This window comes from Homo sapiens, chromosome 10, assembly GCF_000001405.40.
Source record: "Homo sapiens chromosome 10, GRCh38.p14 Primary Assembly".
NCBI lineage: Eukaryota > Metazoa > Chordata > Mammalia > Primates > Hominidae > Homo > Homo sapiens.
Window position 1 is genome coordinate 118,823,844 of NC_000010.11, and position 27,085 is coordinate 118,850,928.

Genomic DNA, 27,085 nt, shown 5'->3' on the forward strand with positions numbered 1-27,085 from the left:
TGCGTAGGGACTTGGTAACTGACGACGTGTATTCATTCACTAAGTGACAAGCACTCCACTAAGACAGAAGGGAAACAGTCCATAAAACATTGAGGGGAAAAAAACAAATTGAATTGTCCAAATACTTCTTACATGACCCCAACACGGAGGGGAGCTTCTCCTGACCCCTACTGGTCAGTGAAATGGTTCGAGAAGCCATGGGAACACCAGGCCCAGAAGCAGGATACCAGCATTCTGACCGTAGCTGAGCCACTCGCTCTGGGCCTCAGTTTCCTCACTTGTAGAATCAGCATTTGGTGTCAAGGTCAAGATCCTTGCAGCTCTGATCTTCTGTGACTGTAACCTCGCACAGCAATGGCAAGCAGGATCTAAAGGTCTGAAACCAGCAGCCTTCTGGATCCTGGTCATTTGATTTAGACTGATGAAAATAATGCAGTGGTGATGGTGGTGGTGATGATGATGATGGTGATCATGATACCCAGCATGCTGAGCCCTCGCTCAAAGCCCTTGCCATGCTTTGGTCTACACATATTACCTCATTTAATTCCCTCAGAAACTATGGAGTAGTTATGTTTATTATCCCCATGTAACAGATGAGGCAGCTGAGGCTTAGGGAAGCTCTTGGCTAAGGTCACTTTTGTCACGCCAAACCCCTATCAGCTCCCATGGGGATGGCACCAGTTTCAACAGGCTGAAGAAGAGATCCAGAGCCAACAAATGAGACATGGGATTTTATCAGGGGCTATATACAGGGGAGAGAGTCCAGGGGCAGTGGGCTGGACAGGAGAACCACAACCACTTACAAAATGCATGCACTTTATACAGCATTTTCACTTAGCACCCTCCCCCTAATGATCTCCACCTGCCAACCTACATCTAGCCCAACTCAAAGGGCCTCAATCCCCTGTATGGCCCACGCTCCACAGAACAGGCTGGGTGCTCAGATGTTCCTCATAGATAAGGAATGGATCTCCATGTAGGCCACTCCCAGATTCTTCGCTGGGAGCTCCAAACTGCACTCAAGTGCATCTGTCATACAGGGTCATTCTCAGGGTCTGCTTAAGATTTTTAATTTTTATATTTATTTCAATAGTTTTTGGGGAACAGGTGGTGTTTGGTTACATGGATAAGTTCTTTAGTGATTTCTGGGATTTTTGTGCACTCATCACCCAAGCAGTGTACGCTGTACCCAATGTGTTTGTACAGTGTGCACTATTCATTTTTATTTTTTAATTTTTTTTGAGATGGAGTTTTGATCTTATTGCCCAGGCTGGAGTGCAACGGCATGATCTTGGCTCACTGTAACCTCTGCCTCCTGGGTTCAAGAGATTCTCCTACCTCAGTCTCCCGAGTAGCTGGGATTACAGGCATGCGCCACTACACCTGGCTAATTTTTTTGTATTTTTAGTAGAGATGGGGTTTCACCATGTTGGCCAGGCTGGTCTCAAACTCCTGACCTCAATTGATCCACCCATCTCGGCCTCCCAAAATGCTGCGATTACAGGCCCGAACTCATGATCTCAGGTGATCCACCATGCCAGGCCTGTACAGTGTACACTGTTCAAACAATGTGTAGTGTTTTGTCCCTCACCCCTGCTTCCACCCTACCCTCCCACAGTCCCTAAAGTTCATTATTTCTTATGCCTTTGCATCTTCATACCTTAGCTCCCACTTATAAGTGACAACATACATATTTGTTTTTCTATTCCTGAGTTACTTCACTTAGAATAATGGCCTCCAGCTCCATCCTAGTAGATGCAGAAGACATTGTTTTGTTCCTTTTTATGGGTGAGTAATATTCCATGGTGTATATTATATATACCACATTTTCTTTATCCACTCGTTGGTTGATGGGCACTTGGATTGGCTCCATATCTTTGCAATTGCGAATTGTGCTGCTATAAACATGTGTGCAGGTGTCTTTTTCATATGACTTTTCCTTTGGGTGGGTATGCTTAAGTTATTGTTATCAAATGAATTTGCCACACTACTTATTATAGACTGAATTGTGTTCCCCGTATCCCCACCCCCCATTCCTATGTTGAAGCCCTGACCTCCAATGTGACTATATTTGGAGACAGGACCTTTAGGAAGTAATTAAGGTTAAATGAAGTTATAAGGGTGGGACCTCAGTGCAATATGACTGGTGTCCTTATATAAGAAGAGAAAGAGACAAGGGGGGCGCACTCATAAAGAAGAAAAGCCATGTGAGGACACAGCAAGAAGGCACGGTCTGTAAGCCAAGGAGAGGCCTCAGGAGAAACCAACCCTACCCATACTTGACCTTGACTTCCAGCCTCCAGAACTGTGAGAAAATAAATGTCTGTTGTTTAAGCCCCCCAGTCTGTGCTATTTGTTATGGCAGCCCAAGTTGACCAAGACATCACCCAATGGCAGAACCAGCATTTGAACGAGACAATCTGACTCCATGGTAGGCCTTCATCATCTACAATTGAACCCTTTGATTGGAGAGATGGGTAGGAGGCATCCTCATGGCTGGGTCTGTGTGTACAAAGTATACAGAGTGTAAGATCTTACCCGCTTCCCTCCTTACTCTACGTAACAAAAGACAATCCACCTGGGACTAGCCAAGACCCATGCTTTGGATGGAAATGGTTCCAGGGAAATATGGGCCAGTGTTCAGTGGGTGGATAGAACCATCTGGGTAATTTGCAGAGCTGGGTCCTGCCTAAAATGGCTGTAGGCACCAAAGAGATTTGGGTAAGAGATTTAAAATGGTATCACCATCTGCTTCCCAGGGAATGGTCTTGGATGCTGCTCAAACTAAACAGACCCGGATTTCAGCCCTGCCTTCCCTCAGGTGTCGGACCTTGGACAAGTCACTTCACCCTCTGCACCTCAGTCTCCCCATCTGTCACATGGAAATAATCATTCTGACTCTAGAGCAGTGTTTTGAGGATGAAAGCAGATACACTGTGGGAAACTGCTTCATAGATGGTCTTAATTCAGTAACACTTCACCCAAGGGACCACCTGAAATCCCCCCTTAGCTTCATCAAAGCAATGCCCACAGTTACAGATCCCCTGGCAGGCAGTCGCCAGTCCTTTCTGGAAGGAGCTGGGTATAAATTAGAGATCACAGCCTCTCGGATCAGCTGCCATTCTGGCTCTCACCCCTGCCTGCAGGATCTGGCCCGGCTCTCCTCAGAGCGCTGCTCTGAGGGGGTCTCTGCCTACCCTGCAGTGCTTACCTCTTGCCCCTAGCTTTCCTTCCCCCAGACAGCAAATGCTCCTTGGGCTGGTGTTGAGGGGATGCTCTGGAAGGACTCCCAGAAAGTGGCCTTCCCACTGACCTTGAAAGCCTAGAGCTGACCACACCCAAGTCCCAACCCCCAAGCCCCAGCCCCACTGAGCACATCCATACCATGTTGGAGGCTGTAAGAAGCTGTGTGAAGCAGCCCTATCTTCATAGCAGGGTCCCGCCCTGCTTGGGGAACTGAGCCAGTTTCCTTGGCTCCCCTCCTGGGGCCCCACCCTCCCTGCCACCACTCACATACAATTTGGCCACATTCCCAAGGCCACATGTGGCACTGGGCTTTCTCTCCCTTCCCCAACCCCTCTCAGAGGAACCCTAGCCAGGGCCAGCCTAAGCTAGCAGCCATGGATAGATGACATCCAATTGCAAGCATTTCTTTGCCTGGGATACCTGGGGCTCAGCTGGAAGAGCAGAGGCGAGCCAGCCCTGGAGCCAGCCAGCCAGCATGTCAATCAAGCCACCATTTTCTAGCCCATGGCTTTGGCAAGTCACTCCTCTGCAAGCTCTGTTTTCCTCATCAGTAAAAATGGAGATACCAATCGCACCCACATCATGAGGGCTGCTGTGAGGATTAAATGAGACAACGCAGGAAAATGCTTAGCACAGGGCAGGGAGTAGGTGCGAAACAGATGTTGGTCAGCTCTGATACAGGGCCTGGGCTCAGAAGAACAGCAAGCTTCCCAGGGCACAAAATATAAGTCTGAGAGTGAGGGCTTCCTTCAATTTTGTGCCAGATGCCTTGCTTATCTAGTCCCAGTCCTGCTCTGTTAACGTGTGCAGGTGACACAGAGATGCAAAAAACCTTGAATCACTGGACATTGGTGTCAACCTCCAGGAAGAAGAGAAAGAAACAGGCTCGCCTGCAGGGGGCGCAGTTCCCAGCTCCTGCACCACTTTCCTCACCTCACTTCCTGGGGCTGTGTTCTCATCTGAAGGGCTAATTGGGTTGGTCCCTCCCCACCATCCCCATCCCAGAGTTGTGTGGAGACCATATAAGATAAGGGAGTGAAGGGGCTTTGTATTCTATGGTGGGCTGGACCACTCAAAACATGACGTCCATGACTAGGATCCTTTCCATTCAGCTTCTTCTCCCCAGCTCAGCCCCATTCCTAACAAGTTGGAAGTCCAGGTATTTAAGGTTTCCATTAAACACATTCAGCTACCACTTGATTCTCTTGCTTCATACCTTTGTAGCTGAGAAAAAGAAAGCAAAATTATCCAAAACCTAAGTTGGTAATTAAGTGCTCCACAGCAAGACTCACTGGTCTCACTTCCAATTTAATTTTTTAAACCACCACCACAAATCACCAATCACCACTTTCACTGACTTAAATTGTAGGGAAAATCAAGGAACAGCTCGGATTTTAATCAATGTTTGCTTCGACCATGAAAAAAGAGGTTCCTCTTTTGCTTGTCTCTAATCAGGAGTGTTAATTATCTGGTTACATGCTAGCAAATTAATTATGAACTAATGAAGTTAGGAAGTCATTTGTTAAGGAAAACTGATTACATATTGTTAGCTCTGGGGGATTAAATGGAAAACCACTGTCATGAAAGCAGCTTTAAAAACTAGACCCCATATTTGATCTGAGAGGTTGCCCAGCTGAAAGGATGAATAATGAAGGTGTCCATGGCCCAAAGGCCACCATCACTGCACCCTCCAGACCAGAGGGACCATTTATCTGCTTCACCAGTTCCAGGTTAAAAGGCAGTAACTCTAGAAGAGGTTTTCTTTCCTTAGAGTTGAGAGGACATGTGGGTGAGTGAGTGAGACACAGCAAGTCAGCTGGGGGATGCAGTGATGTGTATATGGCAGGCTCCAACCTGTGGCCCTAAGCCAGCAGTGGCTTCCTGGTGGGTGACTCCAGGGAGGCTGAATGAAAACTATCCCTACTTGCTGGGGAATAGAATAAGACCCATCGGCCACTCTGCCCTTCATGTGGGTTTCCAGAGGCCACCTTGGAAGAAGCAGAAAGTCTGAGACTGAAGGCAAAATGCTCAGGCATGGTCAGAGGTTGGTGATCAAAGTCAGGGCTGAATGACCTTCTCTTTCCCATCCTCTTGTCTCTGTGAACCAGGCCTGTAATACAGGAAGGGAGGAACAGAATGGACTTGCTGGGGTGAAAGTTCATTTAAGGCTTTGATTGCCATGCTAAGAAACTGCTACTTGCAGAACTGCTGTTTGCCTACCAATATCCATTCTCTCATTCTTAGAAGCAGAATCCTTATTTAATTCACTCAGCAAGAAAACTGTATTTCACAGCCTCCCCTGAACCTGAGTGACTACATTCTGGTCAATGAAATGTGAGCAGAGGTTGCTGGGTAGGATTTCTGAGGAAAACAGAAAGCTGATTTTTGTTCTTCTCTGTTTCTTTTTTCTACGTGGAATGTAGATGTGATGGCTGGAGCTCAATAATCATCTTGGATCAGAGGCAACTACTTTGAGGATGAAAGCCACTCACCAACAAAGGTGGAGCAGAAAGGCAGAAGGAATCTATTTCTGATCACTGTGGGAACCCGTACTAGTTCTGGCCCACCTTTCCCTGGACTTCTACATGAGAGGAAAACCAAAACACCTGATTTCAGGTGCTTGTGCCATGGTTTTAATTTGGGGATGTGGGGAGGCTCTTTCTTTGTTCTGAGTTGAATACTATTTCTAAGTCATGCAACAAGGAACATGGCCATCCTCACTATCAGCAGTGAGTAGCCCCAAAGGCTTGGTCCTCTCAAAGCTTGCCAGACTGCAAGCAGAAACCACCCAGAAAGGGGAACCCCCCTGTGAAAGTGGAGAGCAGAAATCTGGCCATGGTGACCCCCCAACACACTCTAGACACACTGGCCCTGCTCTCCTTCCTGTTGTATCAGAACATTCTAGCCCCCCTGAGCCCACCTATGTGCTCAGGTAGACAGGACCCACATAGCCATGGGATTTGGCTGGGAGCTGGGCTGCAGAGCCCTTGGCTTCCTGTATCCCATCCTCATCCAGCTCTGCTTGCCAACCCTCCCTCTAAGGCCACTGCCCATTGAGGTGACCTCTTTCTAAGTCCCATAAGCCTGTCTGCCTGCCTCTCTAAGAGTTCAGCCAAGAGCAGCTGCTATCAGGAGCACCCTCTATCACCATGGTCTTGGAGGACCAGGAAAACAGCCAGTCTCCCTCTCTCCAAGCAGAGGCCTTGGAGATGACCTTCTTCATTCATGTCATGTAAAAGGGGAAAACTGAGGACAAGAAGGGCAGGGATGTGCCCAGTCTCCAGCCCAACAGAGAGAGAGAGAGACCATCTTTGGCCCCTCCAGCTCCTCCTAATCCACCCCTCATTCCAGGATGGGAAAATGGAAAGCTTGAGTCATTACAGCCCCCTTAACTAAGGGTTGGAGAGAATTAGACCCAGGATGAGCCAAACCACACCTCTATATGGCCCACAAAAAGTATTCACTCAGTCATATTCTAGAACAGCATTGTCCACTAGAAATAAATGCCTGTCACATGTCAAGTATGTCCATCTTTTCCTTTAGAGCATCTGGGTTTTGTGACTTGTTTGAGAAGGCTTACACTCCCCAAGATTACAAAAATACTCTCCTATATTTTCTGCAAATATTATCCTATTCTAGTTTTTTTGTTTGTTTAGCTCCTTGCTCCACCTGGAATTTATTTTTGCCCAGTGCTGTTCTTAGCTTATAAAAAGTTAGCCCCTTAATTAGCCAGGCATTGTGGTGCACGCCTGTAATCCCAGCTACTTGGGAGGCTGAGGTACGAGAATTACTTGAACCTGGGAGGCAGAGGTTGCAGTGAGCCAAGATGGCACCATTGAACTTAGTCCCTGGTGCTCGCTTGGGGAGGGAGGAGCTCCCTGGAAGGGCCTGTTGGGTGTGAAATGCAGAAACATAGCTGGAAGAGAGCCCCACATGGCAGAGGACAGAAGCTTCAGTGAGGGTGGAACCCCCAGCTGGGAATCTCAGGCAGATTTCTAATGCCTGAGAACCTCAATTTACCCTCTGTAATATGGGGCTATCAATGCCTCACACCATAGTTGTGGGGATTAAATAGCCTCTCTATGCCTCTGTTTCCTCCTCTCTAAAGGGGATAAGAATGACTTCCTCACTGGTTTGCTGTGATGATCAGCACACTCTGCAGCTTGCAACAACCACTATTAATAACAACATCTCTCATGGTTCTGAGAGTTGACTAGGCTCAGCTGGGAGGTTCTCACTTGGAGTTGCTCGTGTCCTTGTGGTTAGATACGAGCAGGAGCTGCAGTCATCTGAAGGCTTGACTGAGCAAACATCCAAAATGGCTTGCTCAAGTGGCTAGCTATAGGGTAAATGCACCTGACAGCAATAATTGAAACATATCCTTAGAATGACCACACATGGCAGATGCACCTGAATGTGTGCTCCCAGTTAGGGAATCCAGGAATGGCCAACCTGGAGAGTCATTACTTATCTATGAGAAACTCTATGATAAACATTTGAAACATCTGAGCTCCACTCCTACCCCCCAACCCACCCGCTGCATGTCGCATGGAACAGGGGATGGAGGCCCTGAGTTTTGGGTTAAATGAAGGTTACCAGATTAAGGTTGTTAGAGGGAAGGTGTTAAATGAAAATGCTACCAAAACGGCATGATCTTTGCAGGTGATTGCAGTTTTCCTGCCCAGCCCACCGCCTCTGGACCATAGGAAAGGGGATATCTTGTCCAGTCCACTGCCACAGGACCATTTCTGTATGTGAGGTGGTTCTCCTATCCAGCCTGCTGCCACTGGACCCTCCCCTATATGTAAGCCCCGAATAAAACCCCATGTCTCATTTGCTACCTCTGGGTCTCTTCTCTGCCACTGGGTTCCAGCGCCTTCCCTATTGAGATTAATAGGGGTTTGGCACAACACTGACAGTGAATGGGACTGCTGGCGGGGGTGGGGGCTGCTTTAGACAGGTGGTCAGGGAGGGTTTCTCTGAGGAGGAGAGGAGCTGAGGCCTGAATCGTGAGGAAGCAGATGTGCAAATGCCTGGAGGAAGCCTCTTTCTAGCTGAACAGCAATGTTGAAGGTGGCTCTGCTGGAAGACCTAAGTCCCACGGGCAGGTGAACTAAACCAGCCAGTGAATGAGGCAGCTGATGCGGTCTGCCTTGGAAGTGAGTTCTACAGAAGAAAACAGAACTGCAATGAAGCAGGGCGGGGTGGGGGGTGGCAGGGACGGTAGCTGCAGGAAGCCTGCCTGGCACATGGCTTGGGAAAGTGAAACTGGGGCCAGGATCCTCCCTCATCCGGGAAACTGCCTCACTTATGTAATCAGGGCCTTCTAACTGAATTAGGATATTTCTCCATTCTTCAAGTTTTATTATTGCCATCAGCGACAAGTCAGTGACAGCTTGCCCCAGCAGAAATAGCATGACCGGAGACAGAATGCAAGATAACAAGCCTTCTTTTATGAAGTGAGCCCAGCAGGCATGCGAAACACCCCTCGCTCTATTCCCTTCTCTTTGACATGAACAGCTGCACTAATGTGAGTTTACCCATCAGATTAAAAATAATTTGCTAAATATCACGGTGGAGTTATTTCTAAGTGGCTTCAGTTACTGTAAGATACATTCACACTCCCTGCTTAACAGTGAGGTGCAGCTAGACAACAAAAGCAGGGATTTGAGCAAAACTCCAGATAAATTAGACACGTATTCACATTTCAGTTAGGTAGTTTTGTAGCCTGGGTTATTTAGCTATTTGTCCTTATTTATTTTATTTTTTTTTTTGGTATAAATACATGACTAGAGATTGGAAAGGATCACCATTCAGTTGAATTTTATTTATTTATTTATTTATTTTTATTTTATTTATTTATTTTTTTTGAGACAGTCTCCCTCTGTCACCCAGGCTGGAGTGCAGTGGCATGATCTTGGCTCAGTGCAACCTCCACCTCCTGGGTTCAAGCGATTCTCCTGCCTCAGCCTCCTGAGTAGCTGGGATTACAGGTGCCTGCCAGGATGCCCAGTTAATTTTTGTATTTTCAGTAAAGACGGAGTTTCGCCATGTTGGCCAGGCTGGTCTCAAACTCCTGACCTCAAGGGATCTGCCCACCTCAGCCTCCCAAAGTGCTGGGATTACAGGCATGAGCCACTGGACCTAGCTGAATTTTATTGCTTTTGAACAAAAACTGATGAGGCTATCTTGAGTCAGCACCAAACTAGGCTCTTTGGGGAAATCATAAAGTTGAATTAAGACCCAATCCCCACCCTCAAGTAGTTCACAGCCTGGTGGGAAGGGGTACACAGATACATAAACAACTAAATCTTAAGAAAAAATAGAAAGAAATAAGAACTGATAGAGGGGTCTCAATACAGGGTGTATGCACAGAAGAATAATTAATTCTGCTGGGAGGAGAGGCAATATGGCTACGCTTATGGAGGTCGTAGTCATTGAATTGGGCCTTTGGCTGAATGTTTTTGTTTTGTTTGTAATAAAAAGCCAGAGGAAGCCATGTACAAAGACACAGTGTCCTAAAGCCCCAAACATCAGAGCCAGGGTCGTGCATCTACCCAAGGAGGGATTTTGACTCAAGCATTCAAATTGGTTCTCCACACTAGATGAACATCAGAATCACCCAGCGAGTTTTGAAACACTCCCTGAGCCACATTCTGCAAAGATCCTGACCTAATTGGCCTGGGGTGAAACCTGGGCAGCCTTAGAGTTTGAAGAACCCGCAGGTGATTCAAATATGCAACCAGATTGTGTTCTCTTCCTGGGGAGAAACAACAAAGGTAGACTAAGCCAGTGGTTCTCAAAGTGAAGTCACCAGGCCAGCTTCACCTGGGAAATTGTCAGAAATGCAAATTATCAGGCCCACCTTAGACCCACTGAATCAGAAACTTGGGGTAGGGGTAGACCCAGGAAGATGTGTTTCAACAAGCTGTATTAGTCCATTCTCACGTTGTTATAAAGATACTACACGAGATTGGGTAATTCATTTACTTTTTGAATGTAGGTAATTTATTTAGAAAAATATATTTTAGACTATAAACATTAAAGATAGTGTTTTAAAATACTTTATTTTTATTTTAATTATTTTAATGTATTTTCTTTTACTTTTTTTAAAGTTTATTAAGTTCCAGGGTACATGTGCAGGATGTGCAGGTTTGTTAAATAGGTAAACATATGCCATGATGGTTTGCTGCACCTATCAACCCATCACCTAGGTATTAAGCCTAGTATGCATCAGCTCTTTTCCCTAATGCTCTCCCCTGACCCCGGCTCACCCTCCCCTGACAGGCCCCAGTAAGTGTCGTTCCCCTCCCGGTGTCCATGTGTTCTCATTGTTCAGCTCCCACTTATAAGTAAGAACATGTGGTATTTGGTTTGCTGTTCCTGCGTTAGTTTGCTAGGGATAATGACTTCCAGCTTCATCCATGTCCCTGTAAAGGAATAACCTCATTCCTTTTTATAGCTGCATAGTATTCCATGGTATATATGTACCACATGTTCTTTATCCAAAAGACTGGGTAATTTATAAACAAAGGAGGCTTAATTGACTCACAGTTCCACATGGCTGAGGAGGCCTCAGGAAACTTACAATCATGGTGGAGGGAGAAGCAGTCATGTCTTACATGGTGGCAGGAGAGAGAGAACATGAGCACGCAAAGAGGGAAGAGCCGCTTATAAAACCCTCAGATCTCATGAGAACTCACTCATTATCAGGAGAACAGCATTGGGGAAACCCGCCCCCATGATCCCAACACCTCCAACTAGGTCCCTCCCTTGACACGTGGGCATTACAATTCCAGATGAGACTGTGGTGGGGACACAGAGCCAAACTGTATCACAAGCCCTCCAGGTGACTCTGTTAAGAGCCATTAAACTAATGATAACAGCAGCAGGACAGTGGCAAAGATGCCTTTGTCTGTTATCAGTGTGTCCTTACATCTTTCTGTAATTCTGCAATAATGAACGCTGCCATTTATGGGGGCACTTGCTGTATGCCTGGTCCGTACACTAACTCACTTTATTGAAACTCTTTTAGGTGGGTCTTATTATCACCCCACTGTACAGGTGAAGAATTTGAGGCTTAAAGCTCCTAAGCTTCCTGAAAGTCATACAGCTAATACCCCATGCAGTTCCAGATCCAAAGCCAGGTTTCCATGCCTTCACATCTGTGCCTGTTCCATTTTGCCCTAGTATGTGTTCTACAATATGTTTTGTAAGTATTGTGTAGGTGTGGGTACTGGTTAGAGGGGCCTAAGAACCCCCTGCCTAGACAGGGATTGAGAGTCTCCTGATAAGGAGAACAATTCTATTTGCACCTGGAGTTCTGTCTTTATAGAAACAGCGTGATTGCTTGGGAAGAGGATGCTGACCTAGAACTCTGCTAAGCCTCTGTCAGTTCTCTGGACCTTAGGATAACCCTCTTCCAGGGGGCAATTTGTTTGAATTGTGAGGTAAGGACCTCAGAGGAAGTAAGAAATAAACAGCCCCTTTAGCAGCTCCGCTTTCTCCTTCTCTTGTGGTTTTGGTCTGCTAGCACCATCAGCTTGGCAGTCCCGCCCTACTGACAAGGAATCCAGAGGATTTCCAGAAATGTTCTCCCAGAAAGGCAGAGAGGAAGCATAAGAAGGTAAGTGTGGAGGTGACCTGTACTGCCTCTAGCTGTGGTTGAGCTGAAGGGCTGAGAAGAGCAGCTGGCAGTGCTGCAGTGGCCAGACTCAGCCAGCCTGGCCAGCCCTGCAGAGATGGCACCTGCCCACTGCCATCCATCTCCTCTCCCTCCCCACCTCTTCCCCAAAGGCCTTCCTGGTTAGTTCTCCCACGCTCAGTCCTCTGGCCTCCAGCCAGGACAGCACCTGGGATATGGATGAAGCAAGATGAGTCACAGCTTTCTGGAAATTGATGGGCTAGGCAAACTCCCAGAGGGCAGAGGCTGGGTCCAGTGTGCTCCTCCAGAAGCCTTGTCCAGAGTGGGCTATGCCTGGCACATGAGCTACCATTGGAGGAGATATGGGCACCTAAAGTGACCCTGCATGTGGTCCTGGCTTCTGAGTGTGTCTTTTCTGGCAGGGAGCCAGGACTGGGCTCAAGTGATCAAGGCCCAGGAATTGTTTTCCAAATTTAATGTGTCTCAAACAGTAATGCTCACCAGGGATCTGCTACCATGCAGCCTCTAATTCAGCACGGCTGGGCCTCTGCATCTCTAACAAGCTCCTACGATGCCAATGATCCTGGCCCCCAGACCTCACTCTGAGTAGTGAGGAGGATCTAACTTAACCTACTACATTCCCAGGGGTGCTTTGGTCTGAAGAGGAGACATTCCAGCAGGGGCTGGCAGACGTGTAAAGAGAACAACATCAAGTGGTGAAATAGGTGAGCTTGGGAGTCTAACAAGCAGTCACGTCACTTGTCTGAGCCTTATTTTTCTCAGCTATTTTAATGAAAATAACTACTTCATTGGAGTTTTTGAGGAATCGAATGTGCTAAAATTTGTAAGATCTGAATTACTTCTTCTGTCCAATCAGAATATTAAAGATCAAAACGTTTGCTTACGGACATGTGTTTGACCAAGATGGAGTAGTCAGGGCTGCAGTATATGCCTGGGAAGAAACTACCCAAGGCCACAGAGAGAATTTCTCAAAGCAGAGCCAGAAATAGTGCCTATTCCCACCAGCCCGACTGGAAAACTTCATAATTCATGGGCATTGACTATTCAGAAAAGTCTGGCCTCAGTAGTGGGGAATAATTAATGCCAGCCTGAGCCCTGCCTACCAAATCGTAAAAGCAAAACCCAAAGGGGTCAAACTGTAAAGGTCAAGAATTTGAAGATATCCAACACCCAACAAGGTAAAGTTCACACCATCTGACATCCAATCAAAAATTACAAGGCATGCAAAGAAGAGGAAAAATAGAACCCTAATGAGAAAAATCAAGCAATCAAAACCCAGAAATGACACAGATGTCAGAAATAGCACACAAGGACATTAAAACAATTATAATTGTATTCCATATGTTCAAAAAGTTACATATGGAATATATTTTTTAAATGACCAAAATTAAACTTCTAGAGATTAAAACTACAACATCTCAGAACAAAAGCAACACTGGATGTGATTAGTAGATTAGACATTGCAGAAGATTAATGAATTTGAAAACACAGCAATAGAAATTATCCAAAATGAAATAGGTTTTTTAAAAAGGGATTTTAAAAACTTTAAGAGCATCAGTGATCTCTGGAACAACTTCAAGCAACCTATAGCAATAATACACATATAATTGGAATCCCAGAAGAAAGTAAAGGCTATGAACAGGAAAATATTTGTTTGATTCAGCAGATATAGGGCAGGGCCCAAGAACTTAAGTTTCCAGGTGATGCTGAAAAACTGCTCCAAGGTAGGAGTTGACAAACTACAGCTTATGGGCCAAATCCAACTCGCCACCTGTTTTTGTAAAGTTTTATTGGAACGCAATCACTGTGTTAGTCCATTCTTGCATTGCTATAAAGAAATACCTGCGACTGGGTAATTTATAAACAAAAGAGGTTTAATGTGCTCACGGTTGTGCAGGCAATACAGGAAGTATGGCTGGGAGGCCTCAGGAAACTTACAATCATGGCAGAAGATGAAGGGGAAGCAGGCACAACCTACATGGCTGGAGCAGGAGGAAGAAAGAGAGAAGGGGGAGGTGCTACACACTTTTAAACAACCAGATCTCATGATAACTCACTATCATGAGAATGGTACCAAAGGGGAAATCCAACCCCATGATCCAATCATCTCCCACCAGGCTCCACCTCCAACACTGGAAATTACAATTTGACATGAGATTTGAGCAGGGACACAGATCCAAACCGTATTGGTTACATTGCTTTACATGTTCTTTTTTTTTTTTTTTTTTTTTTGAGATGGCGTCTCACTCTGTTGCCCAGGCTGAAGTACAGTGGCATGATCTCAGCTCACTGCAACCTCTGCCTCCTAGGTTCAAGCGATTCTCATGCCTCAGCCTCCCGAGTAGCTGGGATTACAGGCACCCGCCACAACGCCTGGCTAATTTTTGTATTTTTAGTAGAGATGGGGTTTTACCATGTTGACCAGGCTGGTCTTGAACTCCTGACCTCAAGTAATGTGCCTGCCTCAGCCTCCCAAAGTGCTGGGATTACAGGCGTGAGCCACTGTGCCTGGCCAATTTACATGTTCTCCATAGCTATGGTGCTACAACAGCAGAGTTGAGTTGTTTCAACAGAGACCATGTGGCCTATAAAGCCTAAAATATTTCCTATCTGATCCTTTACAAAAAAGGTTTGTTGATCCCTGCTTTAGGGGATATACAGGAAGAAGTGTGATCCCTGCCTTCATGGAGTTAGCCTTGTAGGGAAGACAAGTAATGACACACACATACAAACACAAGTAAGAATTACATTTGTGTTACGTGCTGTGAATAAGTACCAGTAAAACCAGTACAATCAGGGAGGCTGAGCAAAGCTTCCTTGAGGAAATGATATTGATGCTGAGGCTTGAAAGAGGAACGGAATTGACCAGGCGAACCTTGCAGGAAGAGCTGACCAAGCACCAGAGTTATGTGTGTGAAGGTCCCTTTCTTAGTCAACTCAGGCTGCTATAACAAATTACCATAGACTCGGAAGCTTATAAACAACAAATTTATTTCTCACAGTTCTGGAAGCTGGAAGTTGGAGATCAGGATGCCAGCATAGTTGGGTTTTGGTGAGCGCCCTCTTCTTGGTTATAGAATTCCAACTTTTCATTCTCCCACGGTGAAAAGAGGGTGAGCTAGCTCTCTGGTTTTTTCTTATAAAGCCACTAATACTAATCCCACCCATAAGGGATCTATCTACCCTCATCACCTGATTACCACCCAAAGGCTCCTTCTCCAAATACCATCACATTGGGGATTGAGTCTCAATGTATGAATCTGAGGGGGACAAACGTTCAGTGCATAACAGCCCCCAAAGCTGGAAGGAGATCAGCAGGGTGAGCAAGGGGTAGGGGTGGATAGCACGAAGCCTGGGGAGGAGGAAGGGATGGGGCCAGGCCCTCCCACCAGGTGAGGAGGTAGGTCTGTATCCTAAGAGGACCGGGTTAGCCACTAAAATCCTTAAGCATAGACTACATAATTACACTGGCATTTTGAGGCAATTGGTTTGTTGATTGTGTAGACAGTGTGGAGAGTAGATTGGACAAGGACAGAGTGGAAATGGGTGGACGAGTTTGGAAGTCCCTCCAGGTGAGAAGTGATGGTGACTCAGACTTAGGAGGGCAGGGGAGAGAGAAAACTGGACCATTTCCAAATGCAGGCTTAGATTAGGTTCCGTGTGGACTCAGGGGGGACCTGGGAGAAGAGGGGCTCTGGGGGTGGGGCAGAGGTCATGGCCAGGAGGAAAGGAGTCTTTACAGGTCACTTCCCTAATTTGCCATGCCTCCTGCCTGTCCATCACAACCAGCTGATCCACCCTGTGCCAGCGAGCAGAGGCTCAGTCCCTGGGTCAGGCCCAGCTGGGGTGACCAACCATCCCATCTGCCCAGGATTGAGGGGTGTTCTGAGAGCCTTCAGCTAAATTGGGGTTCCAGTACCAGCACAGCTGGCAACCCTGCCCTAATGAGAAATGAAGAGGAGGTGAACATGTTGTTTACAGGACGCCTTTCACACGATCCTTCTACTTGTCGGATGGCCTAATGTCTGGTTATCCAACCTTCAAATGGAGGGTGCCTGGCATAGGAAATGTGTTTATGCTGGTAGACGATCTTGTGTCTTGTCTGACCTGTGTCCAGTTTGTGTCTACCTGACCGTCACTCTGGCCCTCCTGGAAGCCCAACCTTGTGTTTCTCACCACTCCCATGTCCCAGGGAAAACCCAGTGGGGTAGCCCCCAGTTCTTCAGATGGAAGGCGCAAGTTCGATACACGACCATGACAGGAAGTCAGTTCAAATATTTTTACTTACAGATCCGGGGCAGGGAAGGCACCATGGGTAAGGAGGGCAGTCCACTGTCCGTGGGTCATGGAATGCAGGAACAAAGAGTCAAGCAGAGGGAAAGAGACAGAGAGATACAGAGACAGAGAGAGACAGAGAGGCAAAGAGTAGTATATAAGGGAATAGGAAGTGAGTCACCTTAAGTTCATGGGCAGCTGTCTGAATGGCCCGTTTAAAGGAAGCAGCAGGAAGGCGGGGGCGGGGGAGCCCATCTGGTGGGCGGGAGAGAGGCCTCTAAGTTCTCACCTGGAGCCGCGGCTTGAGTCATTTGGGTGTGGAGCTGGAAACTGTCTCAAGAGTCTCAAGAGTAACTGAGCCCTGCTTCTGGTAGGAGAAAGTTAAATGTGTATCCAAGATGGATGCTGAGGCAACATAAAATTATAAGAATTCACTGCAAAGGTTTCCCAGGGCACAGGACTTTCAGTGTTGGTCAACCGAGGCCCATGTCCATGTCTCTTTATTGAGAGGAAGGTCAACAGCCTTGGTGGGTAGCTTGGGAAGGGTAAGGCTACATGGCCAGAGGGTGGGCTGAGTGCACATTGCCTTGGTTCCGGGCCAGTTTGAACTCATTTCTTGAATATTGAAGGGCCCCGGCTCCACCTGCACAGCGTTCTCCAGTGACAGAGTGCTTTTGTGACTGTCGTCTCTCTGGGCCCCACAACAGCCACATAGGATGAAGAGAACCAGTCAGGTGTAGGAGCCATATATTATGGATGAGGAAATTTTGGCTGGTGTGTGTTGGGTGGGGGACTGTTAAGTGGTTCACCTGAGTGACCCCAGTTGAGAAGGAGCCAAGTGAGAGTCAAAGCTGTGCCCCTGACCCCATCAGCTGTCCTGACCCCTGCGGCTCAGCTGCCCACTCTGGGCTGTCTGTGGAACCAAGTGTGGGCTCACCCCAGGGCCTTGGTGGGGAGACCGAAGTGCGCCCCCACACCCGGCCATAGAAAGCTCCCAGCCTCAAGGGCCAAAGAATGGTGTTCTCAAACTGCCATGCCACAGGACAAACTGAGCTCACTGAGGGGACAGGAGAAGAAACGTGGGGCCATGAGGTCTCGGGAAGAAAGGGTGCTGGTGGAGGAACCATGGAGGACAGAGCCTAGAGGAGTAATCAACCCCTGTGTCTCCTCATCCATGCCTTGAGGCACATGGGCCAAATCACAGCTTCCCACCGGCCTGAATGTGTGAATCACTGGGCAGCTTGTGGACAGGACAGATGCCCAGCCCCACCCCAGACCTGGAGAGAGTGATATGTCCAAGGAATCGCGGCCCAGGGCTTCCTGTTCTTCAAAGCTCAGCAAGTGGGTCTGACAAGGACTCAGGTCTGAAACCATTCTCCAGCCAGTATCTGTGGCTCTTCCCAGCTGTGCGAGTGCCTTGAAATCCATACCGTTTATGAACCTTCTGTCAGCAGATTTTAGGAGGCAGCCGCCTTATGAGATGAGTGATATTAATCCATCCATTTCACAGATTAGGAAATTGGCCCTAGCTGAGACCTGCTAGTTCGTGGCTCATTTCGCTCAGCCTTAATTCTATCCAGAGCCCCAGTTGTCTCAAACCCACACTTCTAAATGACCCTAATTCACAGGTTGGCAAACTCTTTCTGTAAAGGGCCAGACAGCAAATCTTTTAGCCTCTGCCATGCACACAGACCTCAATTGCAGCCTCTTAACTCTGCCGTCGCAGCACAAAAGCAATCTTGGACATTATATAAATGAATGGTTGTGTTCCAATAAAACTCTATAGACACAGAGGTAGAAGTTCATATGTTTTACATGGCACAAAATACTTTTTTTATTTTTTTCTCCCACCATTTAAAAATATATTTTAAAATTCTTAGCTCACAGGCTATACCAAAACAGGTCTAGATTTGGCCCACAGGCCACAATGTGTCAATGCCTGCATTAATCCACTCATGTATCAGTGATGGCAGCGGCAGGCCATCTGGAGCAGCCACTGCCATCACGCTGGCCACGCAAGGAGGCACAGCCAAGGCTGCATGCTTCGTGGAGCCAGCAGGAGCCGAGGACAAGTGAGAGCCCAGCCCCTTCCAAGTTGGGGTGGGAGCTCCCTGGGTGTTGCTGCAGCCGCCCAAGCCACGGCTGCTGACCCAGGTTCTTGGGGCCCAGGAGCAGGTGGGAGCCCCACCCTCCCAGGGACACAGTTGCAGCCACCCAAATCTTGGCTGTAAACCTGGGCCTCCCACTCCACGGAGCAGGCAGGAGCCCCAGCCTCCCAGGCATAGCTGCAGCCACCGAAACTGCAGCTGCAGACCTGGGCCTCGTGCTCCATGGATCAGGCAGGAGCCCAGCGCCCCCGGGTGCAGCTGCAGCCGCCCAAACCATGGCTGTGGAACCAGGCATCCCTGCTCTCTTGGGGGCCCAGGAAGGCCCAAGTACCCCCCGACCCCCTGCCGCTGCCACCCTCACCGGCTTGCAAGCGCCTGCTCCTGCTGCCTGGCTTCTCCCTGCTGTCAGTGCCTGCTCCAATCTCAGAGCAAAGTCAGGGCCAAGACTGGGTGCTGTTGTGGCCCAGCTGGGTGTGCACACACTCGGAGCAGTGCTGACATGCCAGCCCCCTGCCTCTTCAGCCCCCTCTGGACTTTGGGTGCCACGAACATAGGAGGGAAGCTGAGTGGGGGCTGAGGGCAGCTCGGCACTGGCCTGCAGGCACCCCTTGGCACCTACAGCCTGGGCACCAAGAACAGCAGCAGGAGGCAGACAGGTTCCTGGGTGGATGGGGATGGTCCTGGTGAGGCCCCACCTTTAGGCCAGGGAGGGCTGGGCTGCCAGTCCCACAGACTGGAGTGGGAACTTGTGGTGCCTTTTCCAGACCCACCTATGGCTGCCCATGGGCCAATCAGCATACACTTCCTCCCCTCTGAGGCCCATAAAAACCCCAGGCTTAGCCAGAGCTGAGCAGACATTGGGATGACCAGCTGCAGGGAGGAGCTACCCACTCTAGGGCCTCCTCTCTGCTGAGAGCTGCACAGATAATGGGAAGACCAGCTGCAGAGAGGAACTACCCTCTCTGCTGATAGCTGAACACTTGCCAGGACAACCTGCATAGCAGAGAGGAGCTACCCTCTCTGCTAGGAGCTGAACACTGGTCGGGACAACTTGCATAGCAGAGAGGAGCTACCCTCTCTTCTAGGAGCTGAACACTAGTCAGGACAACTTGCATAGCAGAGAGGATCTACCCTCTCTGCTGATAGCTGAACACCTGCCAGGACAACTTGCATAGCAGAGAGGAGCTACCCTCTCTGCTAGGAGCTGAACACTGGTTGGGACAACTTGCATAGCAGAGAGGAGCTACCCTCTCTGCTGATAGCTGAACACTTGCCAGGACAACTTGCATAGCAGAGAGGAGCTACCCTCTCTGCTAGGAGCTGAACACTGGTCGGGACACTCTGGCTGCAGAAAGGAGCTGCCCCCTGTAGGTTTCCTCTGAGCTATTCTATGGCTCAGTGAAGCTCCTCTTCAACGTAGTCACCCTCCACTTGTCTGCATACCTCATTCTTCCTGGTCACAGGGCAAGAACTTGGGGCCGGCTGAATGGTAAAACTAAAAGAGCTGTAACACAAACAGGGCTGAGACATGCCCCTTGCTCACCACATTGTGGGTGAGAAGGAAAGAAGAGCTACAGGATGGGCAAAGAGAAGGAAAGAAGAGCTACGGCCCTTCAGGGGCCCAGACTTGGGAGCTCCTGAACCAGGGCTGTGACTCACTCTTTGGGGCCCTGTGGTTCATGGTATCTCCAACCTTCAGGGCATCACTGTGTTCCCTTGGGCCAGCCATGGAAGCAGGTTGTGGTGTGCCTGGTCCTGCCATAACCTAGCAGTGAGCCGGCACCCATGCCAGCACCTGGAGCTGCCTGCCTTGCTGCAGCAGCCAGCATGTCTGACTGTGCGCAGTGGCCGGACCCCATGCTCTCTCATACACCCCTTGCCATTCCACACCTGACTTGCCCTTGGCAGAGGTGAGTCCCAGGCCAGTAGCATAAGCCAAGTGCAGCCTGCCAGGCCAACTGGGTGAAACGAACCCAGCGGGCCTGAGTGAAACTTGGGCAAAGGCACCACTGGCACAGAGGTTTCCAGCCAGAAAAACAACACCCCAAAAATCCTGTAACATGAGGCAAGCAACTCTTAATAGCAATGACCTGGGGTGGGGGGGCGGGTCTGGGCCCTGTCAGTAGTGGTGGTCTTGTGTCCATCACTTCATTCCACCCTTGCTCCTCTTGGCTTGTCCTTAGGCCTGCCCAGCCCTTAGCTCTCTGATTCCCAGACTGCACTCATTTCTCTCTTTTTTTTTTTTTTTTTTTTTTTGAGACGGAGTCTCGCTTTGTCGCCCAGGCTGGAGTGCAGTGGCGCGATCTCGGCTCACTGCCAGCTCCGCCTCCTGGGTTCACGCCATTCTCCTGCTTCAGCCTCCTGAGTAGCTGGGACTACAGGGGCCCACCACCACGCCCGGCTAATTTTTTGTATTTTTAGTAGAGATAGGGTTTCACCATGTTAGCCAGGATGGTCTTGATCTCCTGACCTCGTGATCCACCCATCTCAGCCTCCCAAAGTGCTGGGATTATAGGCATAAGCCACTGCGCCCGACTGACTGCACTCATTTCTAAAGACAGCACTATCCACTCTACCACTGTGCCTTAAGGAGCCTAGCCTCAGGGCCTTTCCTAGAGATGAGACACTTCAGACTGCTTGGAAATTCAAGGTAGGGGCAAGTATTTATTTCCAAAGAAAATCTTATCCTCACAGCCAGTTTGCAACCACAGCCTAAAGTGGGGAAGGCGCACCCAGGCCTGGGTAAGCCTGTTGTCAGAATTGAATGGTTTAGAAGTCACATTGGTTTGGTGCTTTTCACAAGCAGCTCCTTCTGCATTTTATCCTGAAGTTCTCATGACACTGAACTCTTTCAGCGGATTATTTTAGCTACCAGCCAATTCTGTAATCTCTATCCCTGGGGTCAAGTTCAAAGAGAATTCCAATGTGATTAAGTAAACATATGCAAGTAGTAGATTTATGGGCTACTGTGCTATTCTTTGTGATGTTGGCATTGGAGGAAGGGAATTTTAACAGCTCCTGTGTGCTCAGTTTATTTTCTAAGAAATTAACTCATCAGTCCCCATTGTGGATAAAAGCACTTCTTGGGACATTTAAAATTCAAAGTCATGGCTCTCTTTGAAGAGGAGGAGGTGGGGAAAGGATCTGGAGGAGGAGATGATTAACAAGAAAGGACCGGTGATGAACCTCAGCTGTTTGTGAATGCATGTGGCTTGTGGAGAGGAGCGGAAGTGAGTTTCAGGTATTTCAGTCCATCATGACTGTGAAATTGAACTGTAAATGCTACCTGGAGCAGTGGGCTGGAACTGCCCCACGCAGGGAGTTAATGGAAACGTGGAGAGCCTTTTTCTTTTAACAAAGTACTTGAGCAATTATTTTAGCCCATCCACTGCACAGGGGACCAAGCAGGCTGCCGGGTTACTGAGGCAGTTAGAGGCAAAATAAATTTTCTAACAGCCTTTCCCATTCAGATACTGTGGTCCTGATTTGCCACTGGCAACAAGTGATGTTTGGTGCCCAAACCCTTCCCAGCCACCACTTCAGTCCCGGGGTGCAGAGGCCCCAAGGAAAACAATTGGTCAAGGGATTCAAGGCACAGCCTTTTCCCTGTATGAGGAGCTGTTATCATCCCACCTTTCCATAAGAGCATCTCACTTTACAGTTGAGAAAATTGAGACTTGGGGAAGTTACTTAGGCAGAGCTAAGGCTGAAAATCAAGTCAGCTCATCTGAATCCTGTGTTCTTTTCATTATGCCACCATGATATGACCCTCAGTATCCTGAAATATCTCATGCCTCAGCCCTCAAATCAAACTAAGCAAGGGTCAAGTCAAGACTTGCTGGGGATGCCTTAGCCTTGAATAAGAAAAAAGGGAAAATGGCGGGGAGGCAATGTCAAAGCAGCTGGAGTCCCACTGAGATCTGTGAGGACAGACCTGCATGGGCGTGTCAGGGAAAGCCAATGGTGGTTCCACCAGATCTGTGTTTGCAAGAAGGCCAAGCTGCATCTTGAGATCCATTCCATGGGGAAAAAGGGAGGCTAGGTGGAAGTTATTGCCCCAGAAACAGATTTTTGGAGGGGAGAGAGCTCGATGTGGTATTTGTTGTTTGTATGGGTTGGCTCCCCAGCTGGCCCCTGTGGATTCCTGATGGAATTTTACAGACAGCAGAAGCTGGGAAGAGAAAGGTAGCTTAGTGCATACTCATTAACAGGTTCTGAGGCCAGGCAGCCTAAGCCTAGTCCTGCTGCCCACCTCTTAATACCCATGAGACCTTGTATAAGTTATTTGACTAACCTGTGTGTACAGGTTGGGTATCCCTTACCTGAAATGCCTGAGATCAGAAGTGTTTCAGATTTTTTATTTTTTCAGATTTTTGAATATTTGCATTAGACTAACTGGTTGAGCATCCCAAATCAGAAAACCTGAAATCCAAAACGCTCCAATGGGCATTTCCTTTGAGAGTCATGTCAGATGTCAGTGCTCAAAGAGTTTCAGATAGTGGAGCATTTTGAATTTTGGATTTTCTGATCTGGGATGCTCAAGCAGTATCATGGGATTTTAAAAAGTGAATGATTTTATGATTTTCTAATTCTATCATTCTCAGATCCTTGGCATAGGAGAAAATGGACAAATATGTAAGAGAGAAGAAATCTAGTAAAGGATCTGTGGTCAAATTTGAGTAGGAGGCATCAGTAAGTTGTTTTTGTTTTGTTTTGTTTGTTTTTTTGAGACGTTATTTCGCTCTAGTTGCCCAGGCTGGAGTGCAGTGGCTCAATCTCGGCTCACTGCAACCTCCACCTCCCGGTTCAAGTGATTCTCCTGCCTCAGCCTCCTGAGGAGCTGGGATTACAGGCATGCGCCACCACGCCCGGCTAATTTTGTATTTTTAGTAGAGATGGGGTTTCACCATGTTGGTCAGGCTGGCCTCAAACTCCCAACCTCAGGTGAACCACCCACCTTGGCCTCCCAAAGTGCTGGGATTACAGGCGTGAGCCACCGCGCCCAGCCCTGTAAGTATTTATGATATATTTTATCTTTAAAAAGAAAAGAACTATTTACAAGATTTACTCACTGAAAAGGCCTAGAAACAATCACCAATCCAGGAGAAATAAGCATCCCTCACAGCTAGATGGGGCATTTGAAATACCATTTCCCTTCTAAAGGAACTCGGAAATGACTGGTTCCAGAACTGGTTCAGGAAATATACAAGATGAGACTCATGAGGACACAAATGTATCAACATTCATCTACTAGTTTATAGAAAATACAACAAACCAAGGAACATGTTAAAGGACACCAAGCAGATGTAACAGCAAAACCCAGACTGGAGGAAGCCCTACGAGGAAAACAACCTGGTTTCTTCCACGATTACGTTGCAGGAGGAAAACAGGGGATGGAGGCAGGAAACAACAGAATAAACTAAAACTTAAGAGTCAAGACAACAGGACTCAGAGGCTAACTTGAAGAAACTGCCACTGGCCAGAGTTGGGAAAGTCTGAACATCAATAAGGGTAATAAACTGCTGTGGATGGAAACACAGCAAATACATTGAAACCCATGAAGTCCATAATGCTACTAAAACAACTAACTGATTGTCATTGTAGGATGCTGGGGAACCCATTTATTAGTTGATTAAAACTGATTAAAGGCAGGGCAAGGTGGCTTATGCCTGTAATCTCAGCACTTTGGGAGGCCGAGGCACTTTGGATTGCTTGAGTCCAGGAGTTTGAGAACAGCCTGGGAAACATGGCAAAACCCTGTCTCTACCAAAAATAAAACAAAAAAGTTAGCTAGGTGTGGTGGCGTGTGCCTGTAGTCCCAGCAAGTTGGGAGGCTGAGATGGGAGAATCACCTGAGCCCCGGACGTTGAGACTGCAGTGAGCCAAGATTGTGCCGCTACACTCCAGCCTGGGCAACCAGAGAGAGACCCTGTCTAAAAAAAAACAAACAACGAAAAAAAAAAAAAAAACACTGATTAAATTGAAAGAATTAAATATTTAACCTGTCTTTCCAATAAGGATTGTGCCACCAGGGAACTCAAGAGTTGATGGGGGTTAAGTTTCTCTTTCTAGAAGTATCCCAGCTAGTAAATAAGAAAGAATGATGGAATTCGAATGTCACCATTTTGTAATCCCTAGTGAATTCAGATTCATTCATTAACCATTGAAGCATTGATCCTCAATGGCTGCTAACATGAGAGAGAGAGAGAATCAGACACTGTGTGCCTCCTGGTAGAAGATCACACCAACACCTATGAAGTAGTGATTTTTTTTAAAAAATGAACCTGAATCAGCTGGAGCTTCTAGATTCAACTACCAGTTTATAGAAAATACAACAAACCAAGGAATGTGTTAAAGGACAGCAAGCAGGTGCAACAGCAAAACCCAGATTGGAGGAAGCCCTATGGGGCAAACAACCTGGTTTCTTCCATGATTAAATTGCAAGAGGAAAAAAAAGGAATGGAGGGAGGAAACAACAGAATAAACAAAAACTTAAGAAACAAATGAACCAATCACAATATACTGACTTTTTATGGATCCTGATTCAAATAAACTGTTTAAAAAGTATGATATCTATGAAGTAACTAGAAATCTGAACATTGACTTGATACTCGATGATACTGAGAAATCATTATTAATCACTTTTAGAGGTGATAATGCTTTTATGGACTTTTTTTTTTGTCTGTTTTTTTACAAATAGAGTCCTTATGTGATGCGTCCTTATCTCAGATACATGCTAAAATGTTTACAAATAAAACAGGATGTTAGGGATTTGCTTCAAAATAATATGGGAGGAACCCAATCAGAAATTGGGCAAAGGGCCTGGCGCGGTGGCTCACGCCTGTAATCCCAGCACTTTGGGAGGCCGAGGCGGGCGGATCACGAGGTCAGGAGATCGAGACCAACCTGGCTAACACAGTGAAACCCTGTCTCTACTAAAAATACAAAAAATTAGCCCGGCATGGTGGCGGGCACCTATAGTCCCAGCTACTCAGGAGGCTGAGGCAGGAGAATGGCGTGAACCCAGGAGGTGGAGCTTGCAGTGAGCCAAGATTGTGCCACTGCACTCCGTCTCAAAAAAAAGAAAGAAAGAAATTGGGCAAAGGACCTAAATAGACACTTCTCAAAAGAAGACATCCAAATGGCCAACAGGGATATGAAAAAAAATGCTAATTATCACTGGTCATCAGGGAAATAAAATTTAAAACCACAATGATATCACCTCACACCTCTTAGAATGGCTATCATTCAAAAGATGAAAGATAAGTTTTAGGAAGGTTGTGGAGAAAAGGGAACACTGCTGCACTGTTGGTGGGAATGTAAATTAATACAGCCATTATGGAAAACAGTATGGAGATTCCTCAGAAAACTAAAAATAGAGCTACCATATGATCGAGTACTCCCACTTCTGGGTATATATCCAAAGGAATTGAAAGCAGTATGCTGAAGATGTACCTGTACTCCTATGTTCATTGCAGCATTATTCACAATAGCCAAGATACAGAAGCAACCTAGGTATCCATCATCAGATTAATCACAGACAAGGAAAACATGCTATATACACACAATAGAATATTATTCAGCCATAATGAAGGAAATCCTGTCATTTTCCATAACATGGGTGAACCTGGAGGATAAGTGAAATAAGCCAGGTACAGAAAGACAAATATACTGCATGCTCTCATTTATATGTGAAATCTAAAACAGTTGAACTCATAGAAGTAGAAAGTTGAATGGTGGTTATCAGAGGCTAGAAGACGGGGTGGATGGGGAAAGGGGAGATACTGATCAAAGGGTACAAAACTTCAGTTAGGAAGAATAAGCTTTAGTGATCTATTGCAGAGTGATGCATACAATACATAATAATGCACTGTATATTTCAAAATTGCTAAAAGCGTAGATTTTAAATGTTTTCACCACAAAAAGACAAGTATGTGAGCCAATGAATTTGTTAATTAGCCTGATGTAATCATTTCATATTATAAACATATTTCAAACCATCACATTGTACCCCATAATATATACATTATTTGTGAATTTAAAAAAAAACAAAAAATTAAGCATTAAAAATGCACTGATATGTGTTATTTTTTAAACAAATAATATGGGAGGAAATAAGATTAGCTATGAATTGATCATTGTTAAACCTTGATGATGGAAACATGGAATTTATTATATTATCCTATCTGATTTTGCATATGTTCAATTTTCCATTATAAAAAAATGGAGAAGCAAGAACAAGAATAAGAGATCATACATGACTAGACATGTAAAGTACTTAAAACAATGACTGGCAGGCAGCCTCTCAAACCACTAGCTCTTGGAAGAAAGAGCACATGGTCTGTTTTGTAAGAACTCCATAAAGCCCTCAGCCTGATGCCTTGCAACTCCTCTGACCCTGAATGTATTGACCCCTGGAAGACCCAGGGCCTGGGCCTCAATGAGGGATGATGGTAGTACCCAGGGGAGGCCTGGCCAAAAAGATGGCAGATGCCTAGCAGAACCTTGGGTAGCCCGTGGCGCCACCTGGTGGGAGAGGACTTGATCCTCAGTTTGTTGAAGTTGCTTTATGGGAACTCCCTAAATTGCTTGGGTGGTTTTATAACAGGGCTAAAGATCCTATGTGTAAGGCTGGGGTAGAACCGGGTTAATTGGGATTATTACTTGGTATAATCAAGTACATATACAAGCCATATACTATATACACAGCCTGTTAAGATCTACAGAAATTCAGGTGGCTTCTTACTTACAAAAAGGTAAACATTTCTTGCACAAACTTGGAATAATATTT

At 46.9% G+C, this 27,085-nt stretch overlaps 1 long non-coding RNA gene across 2 annotated transcripts in view, besides 2 other annotated features; it reads right to left on the minus strand.

Moving 5' to 3' along the window:
* The window catches only part of LINC03036 (long intergenic non-protein coding RNA 3036), a 245,028-nt gene that overhangs the window by 39,300 nt on the left and 178,643 nt on the right, over positions 1-27,085 (minus strand). The gene's annotated exons all lie outside the window — the stretch shown is intronic.
* Positions 19,606-20,107: an enhancer, noted in NCBI's record as "H3K4me1 hESC enhancer chr10:120602961-120603462 (GRCh37/hg19 assembly coordinates)". NCBI's record gives its function as "activates a minimal SCP1, AML or CMV promoter by ChIP-STARR-seq in naive H9 embryonic stem cells {active_cell/tissue: H9 hESC(naive)}" and the evidence as "EXISTENCE:reporter gene assay evidence [ECO:0000049][PMID:30033119]".
* Positions 20,108-20,607: an enhancer, noted in NCBI's record as "H3K4me1 hESC enhancer chr10:120603463-120603962 (GRCh37/hg19 assembly coordinates)". NCBI's record gives its function as "activates a minimal SCP1, AML or CMV promoter by ChIP-STARR-seq in naive H9 embryonic stem cells {active_cell/tissue: H9 hESC(naive)}" and the evidence as "EXISTENCE:reporter gene assay evidence [ECO:0000049][PMID:30033119]".